Source organism: Homo sapiens, chromosome 4 (genome assembly GCF_000001405.40).
Source record: "Homo sapiens chromosome 4, GRCh38.p14 Primary Assembly".
Taxonomy (NCBI): Eukaryota; Metazoa; Chordata; class Mammalia; order Primates; family Hominidae; genus Homo; species Homo sapiens.
This window is the reverse complement of record NC_000004.12, coordinates 149,430,252-149,455,907: the sequence shown is the minus strand read 5'-3', so window position 1 is coordinate 149,455,907 and position 25,656 is coordinate 149,430,252. Positions and strand designations below refer to the sequence as shown.

Here is a 25,656-nt window from a genome sequence, read left to right as displayed (position 1 = left end):
CACCTCTTGGGCTCAGGCAATCCTCCTGCCTCAATCTCCCTAGTAGCTAGGACAGCAAGTGCATGCTACCACACCTGGCTAATTAAAAAAAAAAAAGAAAATTTGTAGAGACAGGTGTCTCGCTATTTTGTCCAAGGTGCTCTCAAACTCCTGGCCTCAAGTGTTCCTCCCACTTCAGCTTCCCAAAGTATTGGGATTACAGGGGTGAGACACCATGCCTGGCTTATTTTATTGTTGGAGGTGTGGTTTTACATGTCTGCAGCTCCTGCTAACAAAATACCACTCCAGCAATAATTCATTTATTTCTTGTATCTAGCACATAGTAGGTGCTCAGTTTGCTCAACAAAGGAATAGCACTCTGCTATACACTGAGTGTCTGGGAGTTGTAAAAGGGACATGTCTTCATGTCCTCATGTCTTCATGGGGTTTAAAGTTTATTGAGGAAGGTGGTCGTAAATACATGAACAGTCATATGTTCTACCAAGGGGTGCTGGGAAGGGCATTCTCACAGGATGTCAGGCAATGAAATACTTACTGCAGAGTCTGGGTGCCAGGTAGGAGTTGGGCTTCCCCCACAACATTCTGCCTTTGGGATCAGGTAGTTTGGGGTAAATCCTGCATTGAGTGAATGAGCCATATCTATAGCTCCTCTGAACCTGACTCATCTTACAGCCTTCATCTCCCTTGGAAGATTGCATAAACTGCCAGTGCGGCAAATGCAACACAGCAGTCTCTCTTGAATAAAGGTTACAACAAGGTTACATCTAATAAACGTATCATACATTGTTGGGTTTTTCAGGATGTAACCCCACCATAAGTTGAGAAGCATACTGAATGTTTATCACTTTCACACCATCATTGTGTTGAAAAATTGTAAGTCGAATCTTATGTTGAACCATCCTAAGTTGGAGATCATGTGTATTACTCAATGATAGGGTATTCACAGAGTCGTGCAACCATCACCATAACCTAATGTTAGAACATTTTCTTCATTGCAAACATAAACCTTGTATCCATTAGCAGTCACTCCCCATCCCCTACCCTGCTACTATTTACCCCCATCCCTTAATCTTGGGTAACCACTAATCAACTTTCTGCCTCTATGAATTTGCCTATTCTGGAGGTTTCACATAAATGGAATCATACATGAGGTTTTTCATAACTTCTTTCACTTAGCATAATGTTTTTGAAGTTTATTCATGTTGTAGCATGTGTCAATACTTCACTGTTTTTTATTACCAAATAATATTCCAGTGTATGGATGAACCACATTTTTTAAAAAAACCTTTTATTTTAGTTTCAGAGGAACATGTGCAGGCTGATTCTGCAGATAAATTGGCTGTCACTGGGGCTTGATGCACATACTATTTCATCACTAAGATAATAAGCATAGTACCTGATAGGTATTTTTTTGATCCTCACCCTCCTCCCACTCCCAACCCTAAAGTAGGACCTGGTGTCTGTTCCTTTCTTTGTGTCCATGTGTACTCAATGTTCAGCTCCCACTTACAAGTAGCAACATGCAATATTTGGTTTTCTGTTCCTGCATTAGTTCGCTTAGGATAATGGCCCCCAGCTCTGTCTATGTTGCTGCAAAGGACATGATCTCACTCTATTTTATGGCTGTGTAGTATTTCATGGAGTGTGTGTATAGAAATATATATATATGTATATACACCATAAATTGTAATTGTGTGTGTATGTGTTTATATGTGTGTGTGTGTGTGTGTGTGTGTGTGTATATATATATATATATATATCACATTTTCTTAATCCAGTCTACCTTTATCGGAATTTAGGTTGATTCCATGTCTTTGCTGCTGTGATGAACATACACGTGCATGTGTCAAAATTTTGTTTAGCTACTCATCAATTGATGAACATTTTGTTTACCTACTCATCAGTTGATGAACATTTGTTTACCTACTCATCAGTTGATGAACAGCTAAAATTTCCAGTTTTTAGCTGTTTTTGACAATACGGCAAAGAACATTGATTACAAGTTTTTGTATAAACATATATTTTAATATTTCATGGGTAGATACCTAGGGGTAGAGTTGCTGGGTCATATGGTATATCTTTAGCATACTGAAGAACCGACAAACTCTTATGCAAAGTTGTTGCACTATTTTACAATCTCACGAACAATATATGAGAGTTCTAACTTCTCGATAATCTTTGCTGTCACCTGTTATTTTCTGTCTTTTTGATTATCATCATTCTAGTAGATGTGAAGTGGTATCTCATTGTGGTTTTGATTTACCTTTACCTGATGACTATGATGTTGAATATCTATTCATGTGTTATTGTTCGTATGTATATATTCTTTGGAGAAAGTGTCATTCAAATAATTTGCCCATTAACATTTTTTTGTCTTTTTTATTGTTGAGTTGTAGGAGTACTCTACATATTCCTTATACAAGTCCATTACCACAAATAAGATTTGCAGATATTTTCTTCTAGTCTATGGGTTGTCTTTTCATTTCCTTGATGGTTTCCTTTGAAGCCTGTTTTTTGTTTCTTTTTCGTTTTTGTTTTTGTCGAAGTGCAGTTTACCGAGTTTTTGTCTTTTGTCATTGTGAGTTTGGTGTTGTTATATTTAGGAAACCATTGCCTAACCCAAGGTTATGAAAATTTACTCCTGTCTTTCCTTCTAGGAGTTTTATAGTTTTTGCTGTCAAACTTAGGACTATCATCCATTTTAAATTAATAATTAATTTTTGTGTATGGTGTGAGGTAGAGGTCCAAATTTATTCTTTTGCAGTTTTTAGTATACAAGTCTCACACTTTGTTTCTTAAGATTATTTCTAATTGTTTCTTCTTTCCTACGATGTTGTAAATTGCTTTCTATTTGTCATTTTTTTTTTTTACTCATTTCCTTTTTTAAAAATTTCTACTTTTATTTTAGATACAGGGTACGTGTTCAAGTTTGTTACGTGGGTATATTGCATGATGCTGCGGTTGGAATTAGCATCATGCAATATATCCTATTTGTTTAAAGCTTTTTTTTTTTAAACCACTCTTTCTTAGTCTCCAATGTCGTTCTTAAAATTAAACTTTGCTAGAGAATAATCTACTTTATTTAAGTTGTTTAACCACTTTATTAAGCCCTAGTTGACAATAACAAACTTTACCTATTCAAAGTTTTCAATTTGAAACAAACCAATAACGATAATAAAGAGAGCAAAATAAAACTTTGGGAGGCGATGGATATGTTTATGGCCTTGATGATGGTGATAGTTTCATGGGTATACACTTATGCACAATATGTATACACTAATTTTGTACAGCTTTTTATATGTCAATTATTCCTCAAAAAAGTTTGAAAAGACTGTCTTTTCCACACTATTGTCAAATATCAATTTAACCATATATATCTGGGTCTATTTCTGAACCCTATACAATTCTATTGATCTATTTATTTATCTTTACATGAATATCATATTGTCTTGATTACTGCAGCTCTGCAATAAGTTTTAACATTGATAGTATACGTTCTTCATTTTTTTTTTCAAAGTTATTTTGGCTATTCTAGATACTTCATATTTTCATATATATTTTAGAATCATCTTGTCAATTTCTACAAATAATTGTGTTAGAATTATAATTGGGATTGCATTGAATCTGTAGATCAATTTGGGGAGAATTGATGTCTTAACAATATTGAGTATTTTGATAAATGTATATGACATATCTCCCCATTTATTTAGATTTTCCTTAACTTCTACTAGTAATGTTTATAGCATTCAGTGTTCAAGTCTTGCATATCTTTTATTTGATTTATACTTCTATGTTTAATATATCATGATGCAATTTTTATATTAATTTCTGATTTTTATTGCACATATATAAAAACAATTGATTTTTAAATATTTAGCTTGTAATCTGCAAGCTGACTAAAGTCACTTGTTTATTCTAGCAGCTTTTGTAGATTTTATAGGATTTATACATAGACAAACATGTAGTCTGTGAGTAAAGACAGTTTTATTGCTTCGCTTCTAAGATAGATGCCTGTCATCACTTTTTCTGGCCTTATGGCACTAGGTGGAATCACCACTATGGTGAAAGGAAGTGCTTTGTTACTGAATTTGAGAGGAAAACATACAATTTTTCACCATTACATATGATGTTGGCTATTGTTTTTTATAGATGTCCTTTATCAGGTTGAAGAAATGCCCCTCTGTACACCGCTGAGAAAATTTACGAGAAAAAAGCTATTAGATTTTGTAAAATACTTTTTCTGCATCTATTCAGATATTATGTGGTTAAATAACATGATGAATTTAATTGATTAATTTTCTATCAATTGCTCTTTTTTTCCTAAAGTCTTAAGTCTTTAGACTTTTTGTCTGATTGTTAAACCAGAATCTCTGGAATAAACCTTACTTACTCATAATGCTTTTTTAAAGGAATTTTTTATTTAAATTTTTGTGGGCAAATAGTAGGTGCATATATTGATGGAGTACATGAGATGCTGTGATACAGACATGCAATGCATAATAATCACATCATACAAAATGGTGTATCCATCCCCTTAAGTATTTATGCTTTGTGTTACAAACTATCTGATTATACACTTTTAGTTATTTTAAAATGCACAATTAAATTATTATTGACTAAAGTCACCCTGTTGTGCTGTCAAATACTAGGACTTATTTATTCTTTTTATTTTTTTGTACCCATTAATCACCCCATCTCCCCTGACCCTTCCCTTCCCTTCGCAGCCTCTGGAAACTATCTTTCTACTCTCTATCTCCATGAGTTCAATTATTTGATTTTTAGATCCCACAACTAAGTAAGAACATGTGATCTTTGCCTTTTTGGCCTGGCTTATTTCACTTAGCATAATGACCTCCAGTCCCATCCATGTTGTTGCAAATGACAGGATCTCATTCTTTATTATGGCTGAATACTAAACACATTCGGCTTATTCCTTCATTAATGGACACTTAGCCAAATTTTGGCTATTGTGAACAGTGCTGCAACAAACATGAAAGTGTGGATATCTCTTCAATATAGTGATTTCCTTTTTGGTGGGGGGCATATACCCAGCAGTGGGATTGCTAGATCGTATGGTAGCTTTATTTTTAGTTTTTTTGAGGAACTTCTACTTTGTTCTCCATAGTGGTTGTACTAATTTACATTACCACAAACAGTGTTTGAGGGTTCTCTTTTCTCCACATCTTTGCCAGCATTTGTTGTTGCCTGTCTTTTGGATATAAGCTATTTTATCTAAGATGAGATTATATCTTGTTGTAGTTTTGATTTACATTTCTCTGATGATCACTGATGTTGAGCACATTTTTACATGCCTGTTTGCCTTTTATATGTCTCCTTTGAGAAATATCTATTCAAATCTTTTGACCAGTTTTTAATTGGATTATCAGATTTTTTTCCTACAGAGTTTGAGCCCATTGTGTATTCTGGTTATTAATCCCTTGTTAGGTGGGTAGTTGACACATATTTTCTACCATTCTATGTGTGTTTTCTCACTTTGATGACTGTTTACTTTGCTGTGCAGAAGCTTTTTAACTTGATCTGATTCCATTTGTCAATTTTTGCTTTGGTTGCCTGTTCTTATGGGGTATTACTACTCAATAAATGTTTTCCCAGACCAGTCTCTTGGAGATTCCTCCCAATGTTTTCTGGTAGTAGTTTCACAGTTTGAGGTCTTAGATTTAAGTATTTAATCCATTTAGATTTGATTTTTGTATAGAGCAAGACATGGGGGTCTTGCTTCATTCTTCTGCATGTGGACATCCAGTTTTCTCAGTACAACTTATTGAAGAAATTGTCTTTTCCCCAGTATATGTTCTTGGCACTTTTGTCAAAAATGAGTTCACTATAGATGTGTGGATTTGTTTCTGAGTTCTCATTTCTGTTCCATTGGTCTATGTGTCTGTCTTTATGCCAGTATCATGCTATTTTGGTTACCATAGCTGTGTAGTATAAGTTGAAGTTAGGTAATGTGATTCCTCCAGTTTTGCTCTTTTTGCTTAGGATGGCTTTGGCTACTCTCGGTCTTTTTTGATTCCTTATCAATTTTAGGATTTTTCTTTTGTATTTCTGTGAAGAATGTCATTGGTATTTTGATAGGGATTGCATTGAAATCTGTAGATTTCTTTGGGTAGTATGTACATTTTAACAAAACTGATTCTTTCAATCCATGAACATGAAATATCTTCCTTTTTTGGTGGCCTCTTCAATTTCTTTCATCATTGTTTTATAGTTTTCATTATAGAGATCTTTTGCTTCTTTGGTTAATTCCTAGATATTTAATTTTATGTGCAGCTATTTAAATGAGATTACTTTTTTGAAATTTCTTTTTCAGATTGTTCACTGTTGGCATATAGAAATGCTACTATTTTTTATGTGTTAGCTTTGTATCCTGCAACTTTACTGAATTTGTTTTTCAGTAATAATACTTTTTTGGTGGAGAATAATAAAATATTAGTAGGATGTCAGTAGGGGAGATTGATAATTCAGGAACTATATATATATAAATATAAATATATATATTATATATATAATATATAATATAATGTATATAATATATACATATAATATAATTTATTTATATATATATAAACCTGGTTTTAAAACCAGGTACTGTGAGTACTCACCTGATTTTTGCTTTTTATGAAGGTGTTTTGCTTTTTTTTGTTGTTTGTTTGTTTGTTTTGATAGATACTTGTTAAATTGGTGTCCTTGTGGTGGGGGGTGGCGGGTTGGGGGGGAACAGTTGGTGGAGCCTTCTATTGCACCAACTTTCTCTACCTCAAGTCCATGATCTATTTTATTTTATTTTGTATATTGCTAAATTCAGTTTGCTAAATTTTTAAGAATTTTTAAATCTATGTTCTTGAAGGATATTTTTCTGTAATTCTCTTGGAATATATTTGCCTTGTTTTTATATTGGAAATATTTTGACTCATATAATGAATTGGGAAACATTCCTTCCTATTCAAATATCTTTGAGGTCTTCCAAAGAATTGCTATAATACCTCCCTTAAGTATTAGGTGAAAATTATCACTGAAGCCATCTGGGCATGTAGGTGTCTTTTGTGGGAAGGTGCTTAACCACACATTCAATTTCTTTCATATGTACAGCTTTCCCATTTCTCCTAGAGTGAACTTTGTTAATTGGTGTCTTTCAAAGAATTTGTCAATTTTATCAAAGTTGTTGAATTTATTGGTATAAAATTGTTTATAATATTCCTCTGTCATCATTTTAATTATCTGTAGATGCTGTAGTGATAACATTGTTCTCATTCCTGATATTGAAAAATTTTTTGTCTTCTTTTTTTGGCTAAAATTTAATCAATTCTATTGATCTTAAATAATATTTTTTGTTTCATTGATTTTCTTTATTGTTTTTGTTTTATATTTCACCGTTTTCTCCTCTGATCTGTATTTTTTGCTTTATTTTATATTTTCTGGGTTTCATTTACTCTTCCTTTTCAAGAGTTTTAAGGCAAAAGCTTGGCTCTTTAATTTGAGAAGTATTTCTTTTCTAATATAGGCATTTGTACTATAGGTTTCAAAGTACCATTTTAGTGACAGCCTAGAGATATGAATATTTATGTTTTCATTACTGTTTAGTTCAAAATATTTTCTAATTTCCCTTTGAGCCAAGAGTTATTTAGAAATGTTGTATAGTTTCTAAAGTTTTCAAAATCTTTCAGCTATATATAGATTTTTATTTTTCACTTAACTCCAATTTAGTCATAGAGCATATTGAATATAACTTGAATCTTTTGAAATTTATTGAGAGTTTTTAATGCAAAATTTAATCAATCATGGAACATGTTCTGTGTACAATTGACGAGAATGTGTATTATGTTGTTGTTTGTTGAAATGTTTTGTCAATGTCAATTTAGTTAAGTTATTGGTAGTATTATTCAACTCTATATCCTTGTTGGTTTTCAATGTACTTGTTCTCTCGATTATTTTAAAGGGAATATTGAAATCTCATTGTTTCTAATTCCTATCTTTGTTCCTCTGTATGTAATGTCTTTTTTGTCTGGATTCATTACAGATTATTTCTTTATCACCAGTTTTATACAGTTTGATTATGATTTATCTGTAGTTTCATTCATATATCTTATGCTAGGAGTTTGTTGAGCTTCTTGGACCTATGAGCTTATAATTTTAATTTAATTTGGAAAATTGGTCATTATTTTTCAAATATTCTGTTATGTCTTTATTCTACTTCTTTAGGGAACTTGAGTTACACATATATTAGGCTTTTTAATGTTGGTTCCACAGCTCACTGATACTCTGTTTATTTTTTTAGTCTTTTTTCCCTGTTTCATTTGCAGAGTTTTCACTGGTATGTTCTCAATTTCACTTATCTTTCTTATGCAAAGTATAATCTGCCATTAATCCCATCAACTGTGTTTTTCATCTCAGATTTGTATGTTTCATTTCTAGATGTTTAATTTTAGTCATTCATGTTTCTACTTCCTTTAACTTCTTGAACATGTGGAATATAGTTATAATAACTTTTAATATCATTGTCTATTAAATCTATCATCTGTGTCAATTGAAGATCGGTTTGGATTGATTTTTCTCCTCAGTATGAGTTGTATTTTCCTACCTCTTTGCATGTCTGGTAATTTTTATTGAATGCCAGACATTGTGAATTTGACCTTACTGGTATTTGCTGTTTGTGTCCCTAAAAATATGCTTGTGCTTTCAATTTCTATGAAAGAAATTTCTTACAAACCTACCTTACGTGGTTCATTCTTCTTCCATCTACTATATTATTTTCTCTCATATCACTACATCCTTTAGCTGTGTTACATGAGAAATAATTCTTTTGTTTTTGTTCATTTACTTCTTTATTATCTCTCTGTCTCATATTCCAGTAGGCCATCATCTCCAGGAAAGGAAGGGCCACTTTGCTCTCTTTTTATCCCTATTACCTAACACAGTGTCTATCACATAATTGTTCAATAAATAAATGAATTATTTTAGATTTTTGCTCTTTTAACATCGTGAGTTAACATTTTGTTTTGCTGAAAACATTCTTGACAACATTTAAATTTTGTTATAATACATGTAAAATATAAGCCATCTTCAGGTTTCATAGTTTTGATTCTGACTATCCTTAAGGAATTTAAAACAGTATATTTTGCCCTGAAATTTTTAATGAAATGTTCTAATGAAGGAATGCTTCATGGTGATACATATATATGTATAATTTATAAGAATGTAAAATGTTTTTCATTTGAATTTTTAACCTGAAATAAGTATCTAATGCTACAGTTAATAAATGAGTAAATGTAAGACCCATTATTTCCCTCAACTGCTTCCAAATGTAATTCACATTAAGATCCTGGTTTTGCGTATGTTTTAGTTTGCTGTAATAATTTCTCAAGTTTTCCCACATGCCTGTGCCTCTCCAGAAAAAGGACACTTTGCATCTTAAAAATGTTAATAAAATAAAAGTATCATTTACATAAATTTCTATTATTGTTCAAAAATTTAAGTATTATTCATATTTGAGCCAGTAAGCTCTTTTGAATGGAGCATATTAAATAAAAGTAGCATCATGGATTCAATTATTTCATGGACCAGTTAGCTTACCGCAAAGAATCCATTCTGTTTCATTGCTCAAGAATAAATTCCTTTTTAAAGACAGCTTTTTTATAAATATATCTCAGAGTTCATAAGAGTCACCAAATGAGAGAGTGTGAACAGCTTATTCCAAATTTCTCAGGACAACTAATAAAAGAAAAAAAAGCTTTGAACTATATTTTTAGTATTTTAAGTCAGTAACATGACAGTTTTATTCAAAACATTACATGTTTGAATATAATGATTCTCACATATTTGTTCTTAGTCCTTGGTGATTTATCTGAAAGTAAGATAAAATAATGTCAAGATTTTTGAGGGAAAATGCTACACAATTGAGAAGTAGACGTTATTCTTTAGTTTGTAATGCTGATCTAAACCTCTTGGGAGTAAATATAGGGAAAAACATTTTTCTTTAAAACCAGATCAGTAGCAGATCATATGACAAAATAAGTGAATGGGCAGCTGTATTTCTCAGGGAAAAAATGATATTCCTTTTTTATTTTCAACTGCAATCTTAAATGAAACATGTTGATGCTGCTTGAAACATAAACGTCCCTTTAAAAATCGGAATCAAGATCCCAAATTTTAGGGTAAATCATCAGAGAAACAGCTGTTAGCCGTTATGAAAGGGCTGCATAGAGTAACGATACAGATAAAAAGGCTGAAGTCATGAAACCTTTTGTTTTACTGCCCAATGATGATAACAATTACCCTAAGCACAGGCAACATTTAGCAGAATGATTAAATTGCTTCTCTGTAAGTTATCATTTTGACCAGAAAGTGAGGCTGTATATTTGATCTTACCAGGTTCTTTTATTAGGATCATATTTTTAACTATCAGGTGGATGGTTTATTATATTGACTTCAATCTTAATTTTTAAATTATATACCTGGAGTATCAAGTGTGTACAAACTAAAAAGCATGATAATTTAGATGAGAAATAACTACGTATATGTTTTATGTCTAAAACTGAAGGATGCATATAAATATTTATATCTAAATGTGGTTACAACTAACTTACATGAGCCTGTGAAGGAATCCAGGTTTATCCTACCTTGACAGTCCTGTTGCCCATTTGGCCGCCATTTTTTTCAGTCACTTATATTTGATTAATTCTAGTCTTTGAACCAAGAAGACCACACTAATGTTCAGGAAAGAAGTGCCCCTGAAGGCCTGTCCACAGGTTATATTGTTCACAAGGAAGAGCTGATTGTCACCAAAATGTCTCTTGATCATGCTTCAGGGTTAAAGGAAAATAATGAATATTGTAACTATGATCCAGTCACAGTGTATTATACATTATTTTAGACATGATTCTTATAAAGGTTATTTCCAACCCAAATGGGAATGGACATTGACAGAAAGGGGATAATTTAATGAACAGTAGTTCTTTGTTTTAATGTAGTCAAAGTCAACCATCTTTTCTTCTTTGTTCTATTTCTGAAGAATATTTCAATGCATTATCTGAACTACGTTATATGAACTTTTGTCCTATTTCCTCAAGACAATGCAATATGTTAGGCTCATATTTGTTATCAATTTAACTAATATCTTCTCTCAATTTGCTATGTACCACTAAAAACAACCTGTTCATTATTTCCTTCGATTCATTTTATCTTAGTGCCTGCTAATCTGTTTTTTTTTCAGTTTTCATATAATTTTTTAATGCAATCTTCTTTAAATCCCCATTAATAGAGTGATAGCTGGTCTCCAATTTTCTTTATCCTTTAAGCTTGTTATCCTATGAAAGAAATTAAATACAGCACAGTGGACTGCATACACGTTTATAAATGATGTGAGCCTATCTTTATTCAAGCAATTAATCTTGCTCTTTTAGAAGAAACCCAAAGGGAAATAACCCAAGTTGTCTTATATTTCCAGGAAATATCATGCACAAAACAGAGGGATTTACTGTTTACTATATCTCCAATGTTAGAAATATATCACCCAAACAGCACTTTTCTCCCAAATGCAAATTATTAGATAATCTGATTGATAAATGTTTACTTTGATCTAGAAATCAGCTTAAACTGACAAATTTATATATTATAGAAAAAGTGTGCTATTTACACATTCATTTTTAAAATTATGCCATGAGAATTTAAAAAAGAACCAAATATGTCTTTCCAAATGTCTTTAATTCATCTGGATAATAGAGGAAGATAATATAAATATATGTAGCCTTTCTCCTTTGAATTGATAGCGAAACCTCTAAACTGTTGAAGGCAGCAATATGTCTGGCTAAAATACTATGTTATGCACTGGGAATTTAGCTTTATCAGGAATTATTATGCATTATTTTTGATCCTTTTAATGAATACTTTTACAAATTAGGAACTTAAAGTAGTTCCTGAATTATCAATCTCCCCTACTGACATCCTACTAATAAAATAAGAATTTATCACATTTAAACTTTCTTTTACTTCTCCTTCCAAACATCTCCCTATATGAAAAAAATTAATAGTTAAAAATATTTTCAAGGATTCTAGCATTTGTACTTTTTCTACAAGTCTTACAGTTCTTTGACCTTGTAGTCTGATGTATTTAAATGGGTTGAAGGCTTGCCAGTTTTCTTCCTTTCCTTTCCTTTCCTTTCCTTTCCTTTCCTTTCCTTTCCTTTCCTTTCCTTTCCTTTCCTTTCCTTTCCTTTCCTTTCCTTTCTTTACCATTGGCTTCTTGATTCTTTAGTTATTTTAATTCAATTTTATTGCGCTCTATTTTAACAAGACTTAGTATTTCATTTCGTTTTATTCCAAGAAGAGGTTGTAGGTGCTATATTTTCTGAGAATGTTTTTTGGTGTCTTTATACTTGGCTTCATATAAAACTTGATTACAGAATTTTCTCAGAACTTTATAAGTATTTTTCTTATTTCATTGAATGTTGTTTTAGAAAATCTAAAGCCAGCTGTTATTGCCTGTTGGAAGTGATTTGGATTCCCAAAGGACACTTTTTATATCCTTAAGTTTATTAAGCTTGTCATGAACTTCATGATGTACAAACTTGACTAGACTATGATTTCCAGTTATTCAATCAAACACTAATCTAGATGTTGCTGCAAAAGATATTTTCTAGATTCGATTGAAGTTCATGATCAATTGACTTTGAGTAAGGGAGATTATCCTAGATAATCTGGGCAGGCCTGGTGCAATGAGTTGAAAGGGCTTTAAAACAGAACTGAGGCTTCCCTGAAGAAATCCTGCCTGTGAATAGTAACATCAGCCATGCACAAGAGTTTCAACTTGCTTTTCCTGGTGGCCTGCTTTGTGGACTTAGGACTTGGCTAGTCAAGCACACAACTGCATAAACCTATTCCTTGCAATAAATTCCTTTCTCTCTCTCTCTCTCTCTCTCTCTCTCTCTCTCTCTCTCTGTGTGTGTGTGTGTGTGTGTGTGTGTGTATTGAGAGATAGCCTGCTAGTTCTTCCTCTATATCAGTTGAACACTGACTAATATAGATTATCTTAAAATGTAGAATTGATCAGTGTGTGGAGGCTACGATATTGAGGAGCCTTACAGAAAAAGCCTAGATTTCCTTGAACAGACCATTAGTAGAATTATGGATGTCAAAGATTCTGCTCATAAGGACTCAGAAAGAAGTGAGGAGCATGGTAAGGAAAACCTGAATTACCTTAGAGAATATCTAATTATAAACAGACTGTTAGTAGAAATATGGAAGTTAAAGATGCTACAATTGAGAGCCCAAGAGGAAATGAGGTGCATGCTATTGGTAACTGGACGAGAAGAGATTCTTGTTATGTAGTGGCAGAAAGCTTAATTAGTGGAATAATGTCCTGCAGTTACATAGGAGGAGAATTTTCCAGATACGGCCTTGGACATTCAGTTAAGCACAGTTTTAACCAGAATTGAATGTGCAGCCTGTTTTTGTTTGTTTTTGTTTTTTGGGTTTTTTTTGTTGTTGTTGCTTATAGTAAAATGCCAGGGAAAATTGCTTTTGAAAGAAGTACTGTTGCACAAAAAGGAACCAGGACTAGATGATTTGGAAAATTCCAATCCATCCAGATTGTGAAAAATGCTAAAATGAAGATTCACTGTCAGGAAAGCATATTCTAGAGGGACAACTGAGATATGGCTGGACAACCTTTTGCTGATACCTCAGAAAGATCAAAAAGAGAATTTAGTCACACAAAGGCTCTTTGAAAAGAATAAATGTGTGACTCACAAGTCTCATTAGTTATCAAGCAGCAGCTAGAAATGAGGATAGTTTTCTTAGTTTGTTTTGTGCTGCTATAACAGAATACCTGACTGAGTAATTTATAAGGAACAGATAGGTATTTTCTCACAATTATGGAGGCTGGAAAGTCCAAGATCAAGGTGCTAGCAACAAGTGATGGCCTTCTTAATCTATGATTACATGGTGGAAGGTAGAAGTGCAAAGGCACAAAAAGGGCTGAACCTAGGGCATTAATCCCACCCATGAGGGCTGTGCCCTCATGGCCCAATCACCTTCCAAAAGTCCCACCTGTCAATACTGCCACAATGGCAACTAAATGTCAAGCTGAATTTTGGACAAAACAAACATTCAAATCATAGGAATGGGATTATACAGGAAAGATTTGTGGAGAAGTCTCTTGTCTAATGAAGTGAATTCCCATAATACACATGAGACCTCAGGATTTTTGAAAAATTTAAATCAGTAGAACACTGCCAGCTTGGACCAAAAGTGACAGAAACCGTATTAATGGAAAGAAGGCTTCTGGACTCCCAAAAGTGTACAGGCAGGAAATAGACTATTAAAATGACTCAGCTGCTAACCCATGCTACTTTTCATGAAAAAAGAAGGATGACTTAGAAGGCAGAGCTGAAAACCACAGAGGATTATTCTCAGACTTAGAACTGTTCTCAAGTTTGCCCAGCTGGGTTTTAAAATGGCTTGGGATCAGTAACCCTTTTTCTTTTTATTTTATCTCATTTTGAATAGGAATTGCTTATTCCTGTCTCATCAAGGTATTTTGTGAGCAGATAACTTATTCTTGAGTTTCACAGGTCCATAAATGGAGAGGAATTATGCATCAAGATGGATTATACCCAGGGCTTCACCCATGCCAAATTTAGATGTGTCAACTCTAGACAGTCTCTTTTATTTAGGTGTTAATTTTATTGTTTCTGTTATACATTCTTTAAAGTTATTGGAAGTTGTAGGAATTTTCATGCTTCAGTAAAGATGCAGTTATATTTATATTTTTGGTTGATTAAAATATACTTTATCTTGGCATTGTGGGAGAGGAAAAGGGAAAATCTTTGCTCTTATTGTGTCTCTTTTAACTAGGAAAATGATTACCTATTAATGCATATAAATAAATCAGGGCCAGGAAATTGTACATTTGTTAAGTAAATAAATTATTCCATTTATAAATTGATTTGTATCCAATCATGTTTCGGAAAGAATTTAAAATAATCTTAACATTAGTATAATCAATAAACAAGCCTTAAATTATAGACATCTTGAACAGGATTGAGAAATCTAAATAAGTCTGGAAAACGAAGTCTAAAAAGTTAAAGAATGGCTCAATTCTGAAAGACAGCACTTATTTTTAAAAATTAATACATAAATTTAAAAAAACATTTATTTGGAATTCATTTCAAAAAATCCATCAGGAAAAATTCTCACTTGTTTGAAGTTCATTTTTTACTGAAATAGCGTGGTATTACTTTTGCCTCTTGAATCTAGAAAGAGGCTTAAGCACAAGAAAAGGAAAAAAATGTATATATTTTTGCATGTCAGGGCTAATGTAATTGTTGAGTAAATGCATAAAGCTAAGCTTGTTATAGTCAACTGCCAATTACTGCAGTTTTTCTTAGGGATTTAAATAGTATGGGAAAATAATACTTAAAATATTTAACTGTGTAATTAACTGCAATGTTTAGCTCAAAATACATTTAAAACTGATATTAGTAATGAATAGCTTAAAAATTCATAGAGTTGCCCTCTGCCCCTTAAGGATATAGAAAAATAACCAAAATGATGCGATTTGTCTCAGGAAAAACAAAAGGACTGGGTAATTCAAATTTAATTTAACAATTAAGAATAGCTACACTTGCTGGGCGCTGTGGCTCACGCCTGTAATCTCAGCATTTTGGAAGGTCAAGGCGGCAGATCACCTGAGGTTGGGAGTTTGAGACCAGCCTGACCAACATGGAGAAACCCCGTCTCTACTAAAAAAAAAAAAAAAAAAAAAAAAAAGGCCGGGCATGGTGGCACATGCCTGTAATCCTAGCTACTCGGGAGGCTGATGCAGGAGAATCGCTAGAACCCAGGAAGCAGAGGTTGCAGTGAGCCGAGATTGCGCTACTGCACTCCAGGCTGGGCAACAGAGCAAAACTCTGTCTCAAAAAAAAAAAAAAGAATAGCAACACTTAATTGGAAATTCGTGCATCTGACCTGTGAGGTAAATTTTTTTATTAAAGTTATCTTCCCAACAAAGTGAAAAGAAATATCTTATGGATTATGTATGCTGAGCCCAATAAAAACTGTCACTATGCTCTTAAATTTTAAGAATTTTTTGTGTTATTGTATTACTCTCACAAATGTAACTAAGGTGGGAGGAGCATTTATCTTTAGTCTTTTGTCTTTAGTCAGAGCAAAGTCTCATTAATGGATTTAACCTACCCATGTTGAGACTGAGAGATAAAAATATTTATATTTTTAAAATAGAGTACTTAAAATTAATCACTTTAATAATTTGAGATAATGTTTGTATTATTTCCAGTACACAGACACACTTATACACACAAACACACTCACACACACATGCTTTTAGAAGAAAGAAAATGCTCCTCCTAAGGAATCCTTATAATTCTATTGGAGTTATTAACTAAAAGTATTTTAGTGTTTTGGGCAGCTATAAAATTTATTTATATATAGTGATATGATATGTGTTTCTATCTAAAGCCCTTGAAGACAGGGAAAGGAAAAAGTCTTTTAGCTTCCTATATCAAATACTTGAAAGTCTATTTAATTTGTTTATTAAGCAAACAAGCAAAAAATAAGTAAATACAGAATGAAAATAAAGTTAAAATGTTAGTGTATTTCTTTATGAACTCTTTATTCCACTGAAGAAGCGAACCTTTTGAACTAACTGTAGTTTGATTATTGAACAATTAAATAGCTGTGATTCCCTAATTTTCTACTCTAAAATGGCATTTTGATTGGATTTATAAAGGTATGTATCAACAGCACAATTTTCATACATTTAACATTTAAATGTGTAGTGAAGAATATTCTGGCAAAATTTAAAATATGTGCCTGTTTTCATGACCTGAAGGGATTTAAAGGTGGTAATATTTGCTATAATTTAACATTTTTAAATAATTCATAACCTCATTTTATATTATTATTTACTCTTAGTCAAGGGTTAGAGAACATTTTCACTCTTGTTTAAGTTAAGTAATGTTGGTATTTCATTGTAATATGAGATAGGTGGTCCTAGCATTTATTTTTACAAATCATATTATTTATTGGCATATCATTTAACTGTCTTCTTAACCATTTTGTCCCTTGGTTTTGAATCTTAATATTTTCCTTCATCAATGATCTTTAAGAATGATCTTTCAGCTTAAAAGAAACTAAACGTAAGAAAGTTTCATTAATTTAAGAATGGGGCTGCTTTGGATTCACATTTCCTTGCTCAAGAAGTACGTAATTTTTCATATTGATAACTTTGTATCCTCGTTTTTAAATATTACTAATGAACAGAAATAAACTTAGATAAAAATGGCATGACAAAAAAGTATGACATCACTTATTTCAAATCAAAATGAATGCAACATAAAGTGCTTTAACTGAACACTGACAAGGTGTTAAAAGCACAGCATTTAAAAACTGGTCATTTATGCTGGGTTATAGATTATTTGTCCACCACTTCAAACTCACATATGAAAATTCCATACTAAAAACTTCACAGTATTGGCTAGTAGTCCATGAAGGATGCATTAGCAATTTAATGAATATCATTCATTATTTATTAAATATTATGCATTAAATTGCTAATTCATTGTGAATGCATAACATTCACAATGAAAGAAAACATCTACCTGTTGCCATTGTTTTTAGCCTGTATTAGTATGAAAACTATAAAATATGTTTTTTTTTTAAACCTTGCAGATACATTTAGTTAATAGTACCAGTACAGGGTAAAGATAAAGGATTAGGCTATTTCTATCTGTACTTATAAATACTTGTTAAAAATTGACTTCAGTAACTAGCCCTACCATTTTGGTTTAATAACCCAAGGTCACTAGTAGAGCTTTGTTAGCCACAAGTCTCCCTGGTACACTTAGGACTGGTCCTGACCTTAATAATTTATACATTTGCCCTTTTTAAAGTATTGTGTCTGGGCTGGCATTTGTGTGAAGGGGCGGGTACGTTAGAAAGAACTTGAAACTTTAAAATATCCTGGAAATTTAGGAATCTCCAGGGTTCAATGTAAATTATTGTTCTTTCATCTGAGATGTTCTTGCCCATGCATTTTGAGTGTTGAAATATCCTTCGGTAATACATACAAAGGAGGAACAGTTGCGACAATAGATGCTCTTTCTTTTTATTATGCTCACTTAGACTGTAAAGTTGTCTGCCATCTTTATGTCAATTCTCTATTATTATTTATTTATTTTTAAAATCACTGTGATTCTTGAAGTACAACCCTGGAGCCACTGTCTTAAATACTCCAGGCTCTGCAGGAGGGAGGCACCAAGCTCTCAATAACACAGCACATTGTTTGGGAGAGGAAGGGAAGGGGAACTTTGAGTTCTCTGAAAACTCCTCATCCACCCTGAATATTAAGCATAACGAGCCTCACTTACCTGAGAAGAGGGGAAAACTAGAGGTGGTGTAGAGTTCATATTGTGGGATTTTATACTAGCCATTATTCTTAGCGAACTGAGAGGGCCATCATCAGTTTATAAATGGTGGTTTTGACCTGAGGGCTTTTCAACAGCTGCTACAAAATAAATTTTTGTGGAGAAGACTAACATCAGTAAACCTCCAGGAAAGAGCTATATGCTGCTCTCAGAGGGCTGACCAGCAGAGTACACTTTACAGGTACAGCTGTAGAAGGATTTAAAAAGATTGGAAGGGTGATAGCAACGGGAGAGACCACCAGTTCACTCGTAACTATTGAAGTGCTGACAGTCTCCTGATACCAGGAACCATTGGTTAAAACAATATGCATTGTGGTTTAAAAGAAAGGCTTTGAAGTTAGACAGAATAGAGAATAAATTCTGGTTTCACCACTTACCAGCTAGGAGGCATTGAAAATGCCCTGTAACCTCCCTATGCTTCAGTATCTTGAGCTGTGATGTATGATAATATTGACCTCATAGGATTGTCAGCAAATTAAACATATTCTGATTTTAGAATTAAATTAGCAAATGTATATAACCTGCTTTGCACACCTGTTGTATACTAAGCTCTCAATAAATACTGGCAACTATGTTATATACATTTGCTAATTTAAAAAACTTCAGATATTGCATATGTGGCCTGGTGAGGTAGGGGTAAGGAAGAGCTCTTATTCTTTTGAGTTCTAAGAGTAGTGTATTGCTACATCTAAATCCCTTATGGCAATATTGACTTAGTATATCGAAAAAGAAGCAGTCCATAAACAGCAAAAATTATTAATATCAGAAACAAATTAAATTCCTGCTTTTATCTTGGGATGACATGTGTAATGAAATATAAAGAAGAGAGTTTTACCAGCTATATGCCTTTTGAAATGAGAAAATGTTTATTTTTAGTTAACAATGCAATTATGAAAGAAGGTACAATCATTTAAGTTTGTGTAAGTTCCAAGGCTCCATTGACACTATCAATTGGAAATGGGGAATTAGCAAGACTCTAAGCTACAAACCTTCGATATGTGTCTAATGTTACATTTATCTTTATGTTATCCTTGCAAATTCAACACTCACTCCATTGACTTCATGTGTTTCTATTAGTCTTCAATCAGGATAAGCTAGTGGGAGAAAGTGGCAGTTCTATATTCACCACTACTTAGATTTTAGTGTAGGCATTTTATTTGACCTGATATTGAAGCATATGAAAAATATAGGTAAATAATTGTAACACAGTGGTAAGGATTTGTGTATCTAAACACATCTAAACATAGAAAAGGTACAGTAAAAATACAGTATCCAAAACAAAACATGATACACCTATATAGGGCACTTAACATGAATGGAGCTTGTAGGACTGAAATTTGCTCTAGGTGAGTTGGTGAGTGAATGTGAAGGCCTAGGACATGACTGTACACTACTGTAGACTTTATAAACACTGAACACTTAGGCGACACTAACTTTATAACAACAGTTTTCTTTCTTCAATAAAAAATTAACCTTAGCTTATTATATTTTACCTTATAAACTTTTAAATTTCTTTGTAACTTTTTGACATTTTGTGATAATGCTTAGCTGAAAACACAAATAGATTGTACAACTGTAAAAAAATATATTCTTTGTTTGCATTCTTATTCTGTAAGCCCTATTTTAGGATTTGTTTATATTTTTTGTTTTTTTTTAGCTTCTTATTACAAATAAACACACAAACATACACATTAGCCTTGGCCTACACAGGATCGTCAATATTCACTGTCTTTCTCCTCCACATCTTGTCCCACTGTAAAATCTTCAGGGCCAATAGCAGCATGAAGCTGCCATCTCCTATGATAACAATGCTTTCTTCTGGAATAGCTCGTGAAGGACATGCCTGAGGCTGTTTTACTGTTTTTTTTTTTTTTAATAAGTAGAAGGAGTACACTGTAACATAAAGTTAAAAATTATAGTATGGTAAATACAGAAACCACTAACAGCCATTTATGATAATAAATGTAATGTAAATAGTTGCATGTTCTGTACATTAATATTACTGGCAGTGCAGTAACATTATTTACACCAGCATCATCATAAACATGTGAGTAATTCATTGTGCTACAATGTTACCACAGCCAGGACTTCACTAGGCATTTTAGCTCCGTTTTGTATCTGGTCCATCATTACTGAAATGTTGTTATGCAGCACATGACTATATTTCAAAGCCCATTAAGAATTAGAACCCAGTTCTGTCTGTATCAGTTAGGGTCCACTTAGCAGATAGAAACAACATAGTAATTTAAGCAGGAAAAGTCTAATATAGTAGTTATTAACTATGACAGAGATTGGAGTAAATGTGATTTTCTACTAAGGGGTAAAATAACTCTAATAATTGACAAGAGCAGATATAGGGACCCCTTGGTCTGAGGCAGAGCACCTGAGGAAAGAACAAATGTTTACAAAGTCCACCCATGGGGAGTCAGTGAATGGTGGAGTACACGGAGCTGGCATTCTAGTGGCACTCATGGAGAAGCTACTCTGGAGATCTGGGGCAAACTCTGTAGGGTGATGTCACATTGTGGAACTCAGTGGGAAGCCGTTCATAGGAAGGTGCTGCACTGGTGGAACTATCTAGGAAGCGCCCAGTGATGGGAGGAGGGGAGTGCCCTCTGAGATGCCAGAGAAGTTGCAGGAGCCTTCTGAGAGACCCACCAGATCCAGAAAGAACCCATTCATCCTCTAGTTCTCTCCATTGCCCAATTTGTTTTATACTTAAAATCATGCCATATTGTGAGGAAGAAGTGTTCTAGCCTCACAAGCAGGACAGTAAAGGATGGATTTGGATCTGTGAGGCAATAGATGGATACCTGGTACACTGCTTGCCATCAAATCATGTCATATGGCCTTATATTCACTGTGCCAGAAAATATGACATGTAACAAAATAAAGGAGACTAAGAGGAAAGGAGGGAAATATATGTAATTGGGTTATAAGTGGAGATTTACATTAGTGTCTCTCTTTTCTTTAAAGTGTTTCTAGGCAGAATCACTTTAAGTCCTCAGGAGACTGCTTTGTTGAATTTTAGGACCCTGGCTTATCAACCAAAAACTAGAATTACAAACTGGAGGCCCAATGGGCATACCAGAGATTTTTCGCTGTGCAATTTAAATTATTGTTTAATTCCAGCTTTCTCAGCTACTAGTTAATACAGGTCATGTTCAGCTGACAAAGATTCATTTGCAAATAAGAGCTTCCTTAGGTATCTGAAGCCTACTTGCATCATTTATAGACTGTGAAATTTAGGCAAGTTATTTAACTTCTCTGGGTCTCAGTTTGTACATGTAAAAGGAAATAATAATAGGAGTTACCTTACAGGTATGTTATGAAAATTAAATATGTTAATATTTTAAAGCACTAGGAATAATCCTTTGCACATAATATGTGCTATACAAATGTTTGCCAGATAAAAATAATTCAGTCACAGCAATATGCATTTTATATTTTCTTAAAAACCATAGCCTAGGAATATTAATTATTTTAGTAGTTCCAATATATGGAACTCTATATTTACTCAACATTTTTGTCAGATTAGTCTGATTCCATTGTTAAATAGAAATTAAAAGTAAGAATATATGGATATGTTATAGAATCTATAATGTGAATGCTGTTCGTTGGGTATCTTATTTTTTTTCACAGCCTTAACAATACTGCTTCAAGCTGATAGTGGTTTAAGACGGTATTAGTAAAGCCCTTACTCTTTAGTTTTTGCTTGGAATTAACAAGAAGATTTTTGGTAAAGTAACTTTGACTAAAAAAAAAGACATGTTTTCAGTGTGACCTGTTGTATCCAAATGTTAGTTTTTAATTTGCATCCCTTAAAAGAAGCAAGTATGACAGTCTGTAAAATGTCTAAAATTTTATATATTTTATCTTTTCTTTATAGATGGCAAAGAAAAATATTCTGAACTAATCAAAAAGTCCAAAGCAATTGAAATGTTATTTACACTCTATCCTCCTGAAGGTGCACATGTGCCTGACAGTACACTACTCAAGTCGACTTGGTTGAGACCCATAGTAAATGGGGAAGAAGGTTATAGATATATAGGTAAGATATTGAACCTTATTTTTTATTGTAAAGAAGAAGTGATACCTTATAATATTAAATATATAACTGTATTCATCACTTAGATGATGTGGGATGATACATAGATCTTATAGAATGTTCTCTTTACTTCTTAGATACTCTGCCTGCAATTTAAAAAGGGGCTATTTTATGCTTTGGTGCCTCCGCTAGAATAGTGGAACTACATTGTGCCTGTCTATTCACTAGTTAATGGAAATTTGGGTTGTTTTCACTTTTGCGTTACTACCAGTAATGCTGCTATGAACATTCATGTTCAGGACTATGTTTAGACATGTGTTTGCATTTCTGTTGGCTAACCTGTTTTCCAGTCATTATAACATTTCATATTACCACCAACTGCAGAGATATGAGAGTTGCATTTGTTCCACAGCTCTATCAACAGTTGGTACAATCAGTCTTTCTAATTTTAGCCAATCTAATACATGTATATTGGTAGCTTTTTGTGGTTTTAATTTGCATTTCTCTAGTAAATAATGTTATTTGGCTTCTTTTCAAGTATTCGCTATTTGTATGTCTTTGTTGAAGTGTCTATTCAAAACTTTTGATTATTTTCATATTATTTATTAATGTTTATTAAGTTTTGAGAATCCTTTAGATATTCTGAATACAAATAATTTAACCTATATATGCTTTGTGAATATTTTCTCCCAGTGTATAGTTTGTCCTTTCTGTCTTTTAATAGTATCTTTTGAAGAGCAGAAGTTTTCAATTTTGATAAAGTACAATTTACTATGTGTTTCTTTATTGCATGCTTTTGCTGCCATATCCAATAAGTGTTGGCCTGGATTGTAGTAATAAGGTTTTCTTCTATAAATTTTATAGTTTTAGGTTTATATTTCAGTGTGTGGTTGATTTGGGGTTAATTTTTGTATATGGCTCAAGATATAAATTGAAGTTCTTTTTTAATACTTTGATATCACAAACTTTCCAACAGAGGTATTTGTTGAAAAGACTATTTTTCTATAAATTAACTTCGCAGTTTTGCAAAACCAAATAGTCAAAGAAGATATATAGATAGCAAATGAGCACATGAAAAGATGATCAACATCATTAGTCATCAGGGAAATGCAAATTTAAACTACAGTGAAATACTACTTCTCACTTATTAGAAAGGCTAAGATAATTTTTTAATCTAATGATACCAAACAAGGAGGTGGAATACCTCAAACACTCACACATTACTGGTGGAGATGCAAAATAATACAGCCACTTTGAAAATATTTTGATACTTTCTTATAAATTAAATATATTCTAATCATAAAGCCTAGCCATTCTTTTCCTAGGTAATTACCCAAAATAAAAGAAAACATTTATTTACACAAAGCATATATATACACAATATATATAAATAGGCAATATATACAATATATCATATATGTAACATATATACGTACACACACATACACATATATATATATATATATAATCAACATTATTCAAAGTTGCCAAAAGCTGGAAACAACACAGCTGTTCTTCAACTGGTGAATGAATGAACAAAATTTGGTTCATCCATAAAAATTTGGTTCAGCAGATTTGGAGGAGTGAACTATTGATGTACACAACATGGATGAATTTCAAATGCATCATATTAAGTGAAAGAAGCCAGAGTCCCAGGCTATGGTATAATTCCATTTAAGTGGCACTTTGGAAAAAGCAAACCTATGGGAACAAAGATCAGGCCTGTGATTGCTAGGGCTTAAATTTGATGGTAGTGTTTTACTACAAAGAGGCAGCATGAGGGAGTTCTTAGGGTGATGGAACCATTCTGTATCTTGATTATGATAGCGATGACATAATTATAAATAAGTCAAAACCCATAGAATTGTACACCAAAAGGAATGAACTTTACTATAAGTAAAATGTTTTAAAATAAACACAAAATTAAAAGAGAAGCATTTATATAAATGGCCAAAAAGTCCATAAGAAGATGTGTACCGTCATTAGTCATAGGGAAACGTGAATTAAACCACAGTGAGATATCATTATATATCTACAAAAATGGCTAAAGTTAAAAAGACTGGCCATATCAAGTGTCAGCAGGGATGAGCAGCAACTGGAACACTAATATCATGCTAGTACAAATATAAAATGGTAAATACACTTTGCAAAATATTTTGCATTTATTTATCTATTTTCTTTTCTTCTTCTTTTTGAAAGAGAATCTCACTTTGTAGCCCAGACTGGAGTGCAGTGGCATAATCTCGGTTCACTGCAACCTCTGTCTCCCAAGTTTGAGTGATTCTTGTGTCTCAACCACCCAAGAAGCTGGGATTACAGGTGCCCACCACCACACCCAGCTAATTTTTGTAATTTTTTTTAGTAGATTTGGGGTTTTACCATGTTGGCCAGGCTAGTCTCAAACTCCTGACCTCAAGTGATCTGCCCGTCCTCAGCCTCCTAAAGTGCTGAAATTACAGGCATGAGCTACTGCGCCTGGTCAATTTTTTATAAAATTAAACATACATCTGCCATACAACCAGGCATTACACTTCTACATCTTTATCCCAAAGAAAAGAAAGTATATGTCTATTCAAAAACTTGTATATGAATATTCATAAAACTTTTTGTAAAAGACTCAAACTAATAGAAACAACTCAAATAACTACTTACAGATGAATAGGTAAACATATTGTGATATATCCATGTAGAATACTCAGCAGTATAAAAGAAAAACCTGGATACCTTTGATACATATAACGACAAGGCTGAATCTCAAAATAAGTATGCGAGTGAAAGAGGCCAGACAATAAAGAGTACATACTATATGATTCCATTTATGTAAAATACTAGAAAATGCAAACTGAGTAGTGACAGAAACAAATCCGTGGCTACCTGGGAATGGGGACTGGAAGTAGAAATGAGAGGTGATGGGTTAAAAAATTTGAGAGTGATGGAAATGTTTATCATCTTGATTGTGGTTATCATTTCATGGATGTACAAAGTAAAAAGTTATTAAATAGTACACTTTATGCAGTTTATTGTATACATTTTATGCCTCAATAAATCTATAAAAAGAAAGTTAAAAATATAAATATTAAAGAACCAAGGTAGGGAAGCTTTTATTTTGGTAGTATTTTTAAAAGATGTTTCCTCTTGAAGCTTTAA

At 32.9% G+C, this 25,656-nt stretch overlaps 1 protein-coding gene across 15 annotated transcripts in view; it reads left to right on the top strand.

Annotated features, from left to right (window-relative positions):
• Positions 1-25,656, top strand: part of IQCM (IQ motif containing M) — a 464,135-nt gene that overhangs the window by 359,936 nt on the left and 78,543 nt on the right. For all 15 annotated transcript variants that reach the window (NM_001378180.1, XM_017008904.3, NM_001363507.2 and 12 more), the window contains one exon: positions 22,351-22,512. In NM_001378180.1, coding sequence (NP_001365109.1) covers positions 22,351-22,512 — 162 coding nt within the window. The remainder of the gene's footprint in view (positions 1-22,350; positions 22,513-25,656) is intronic.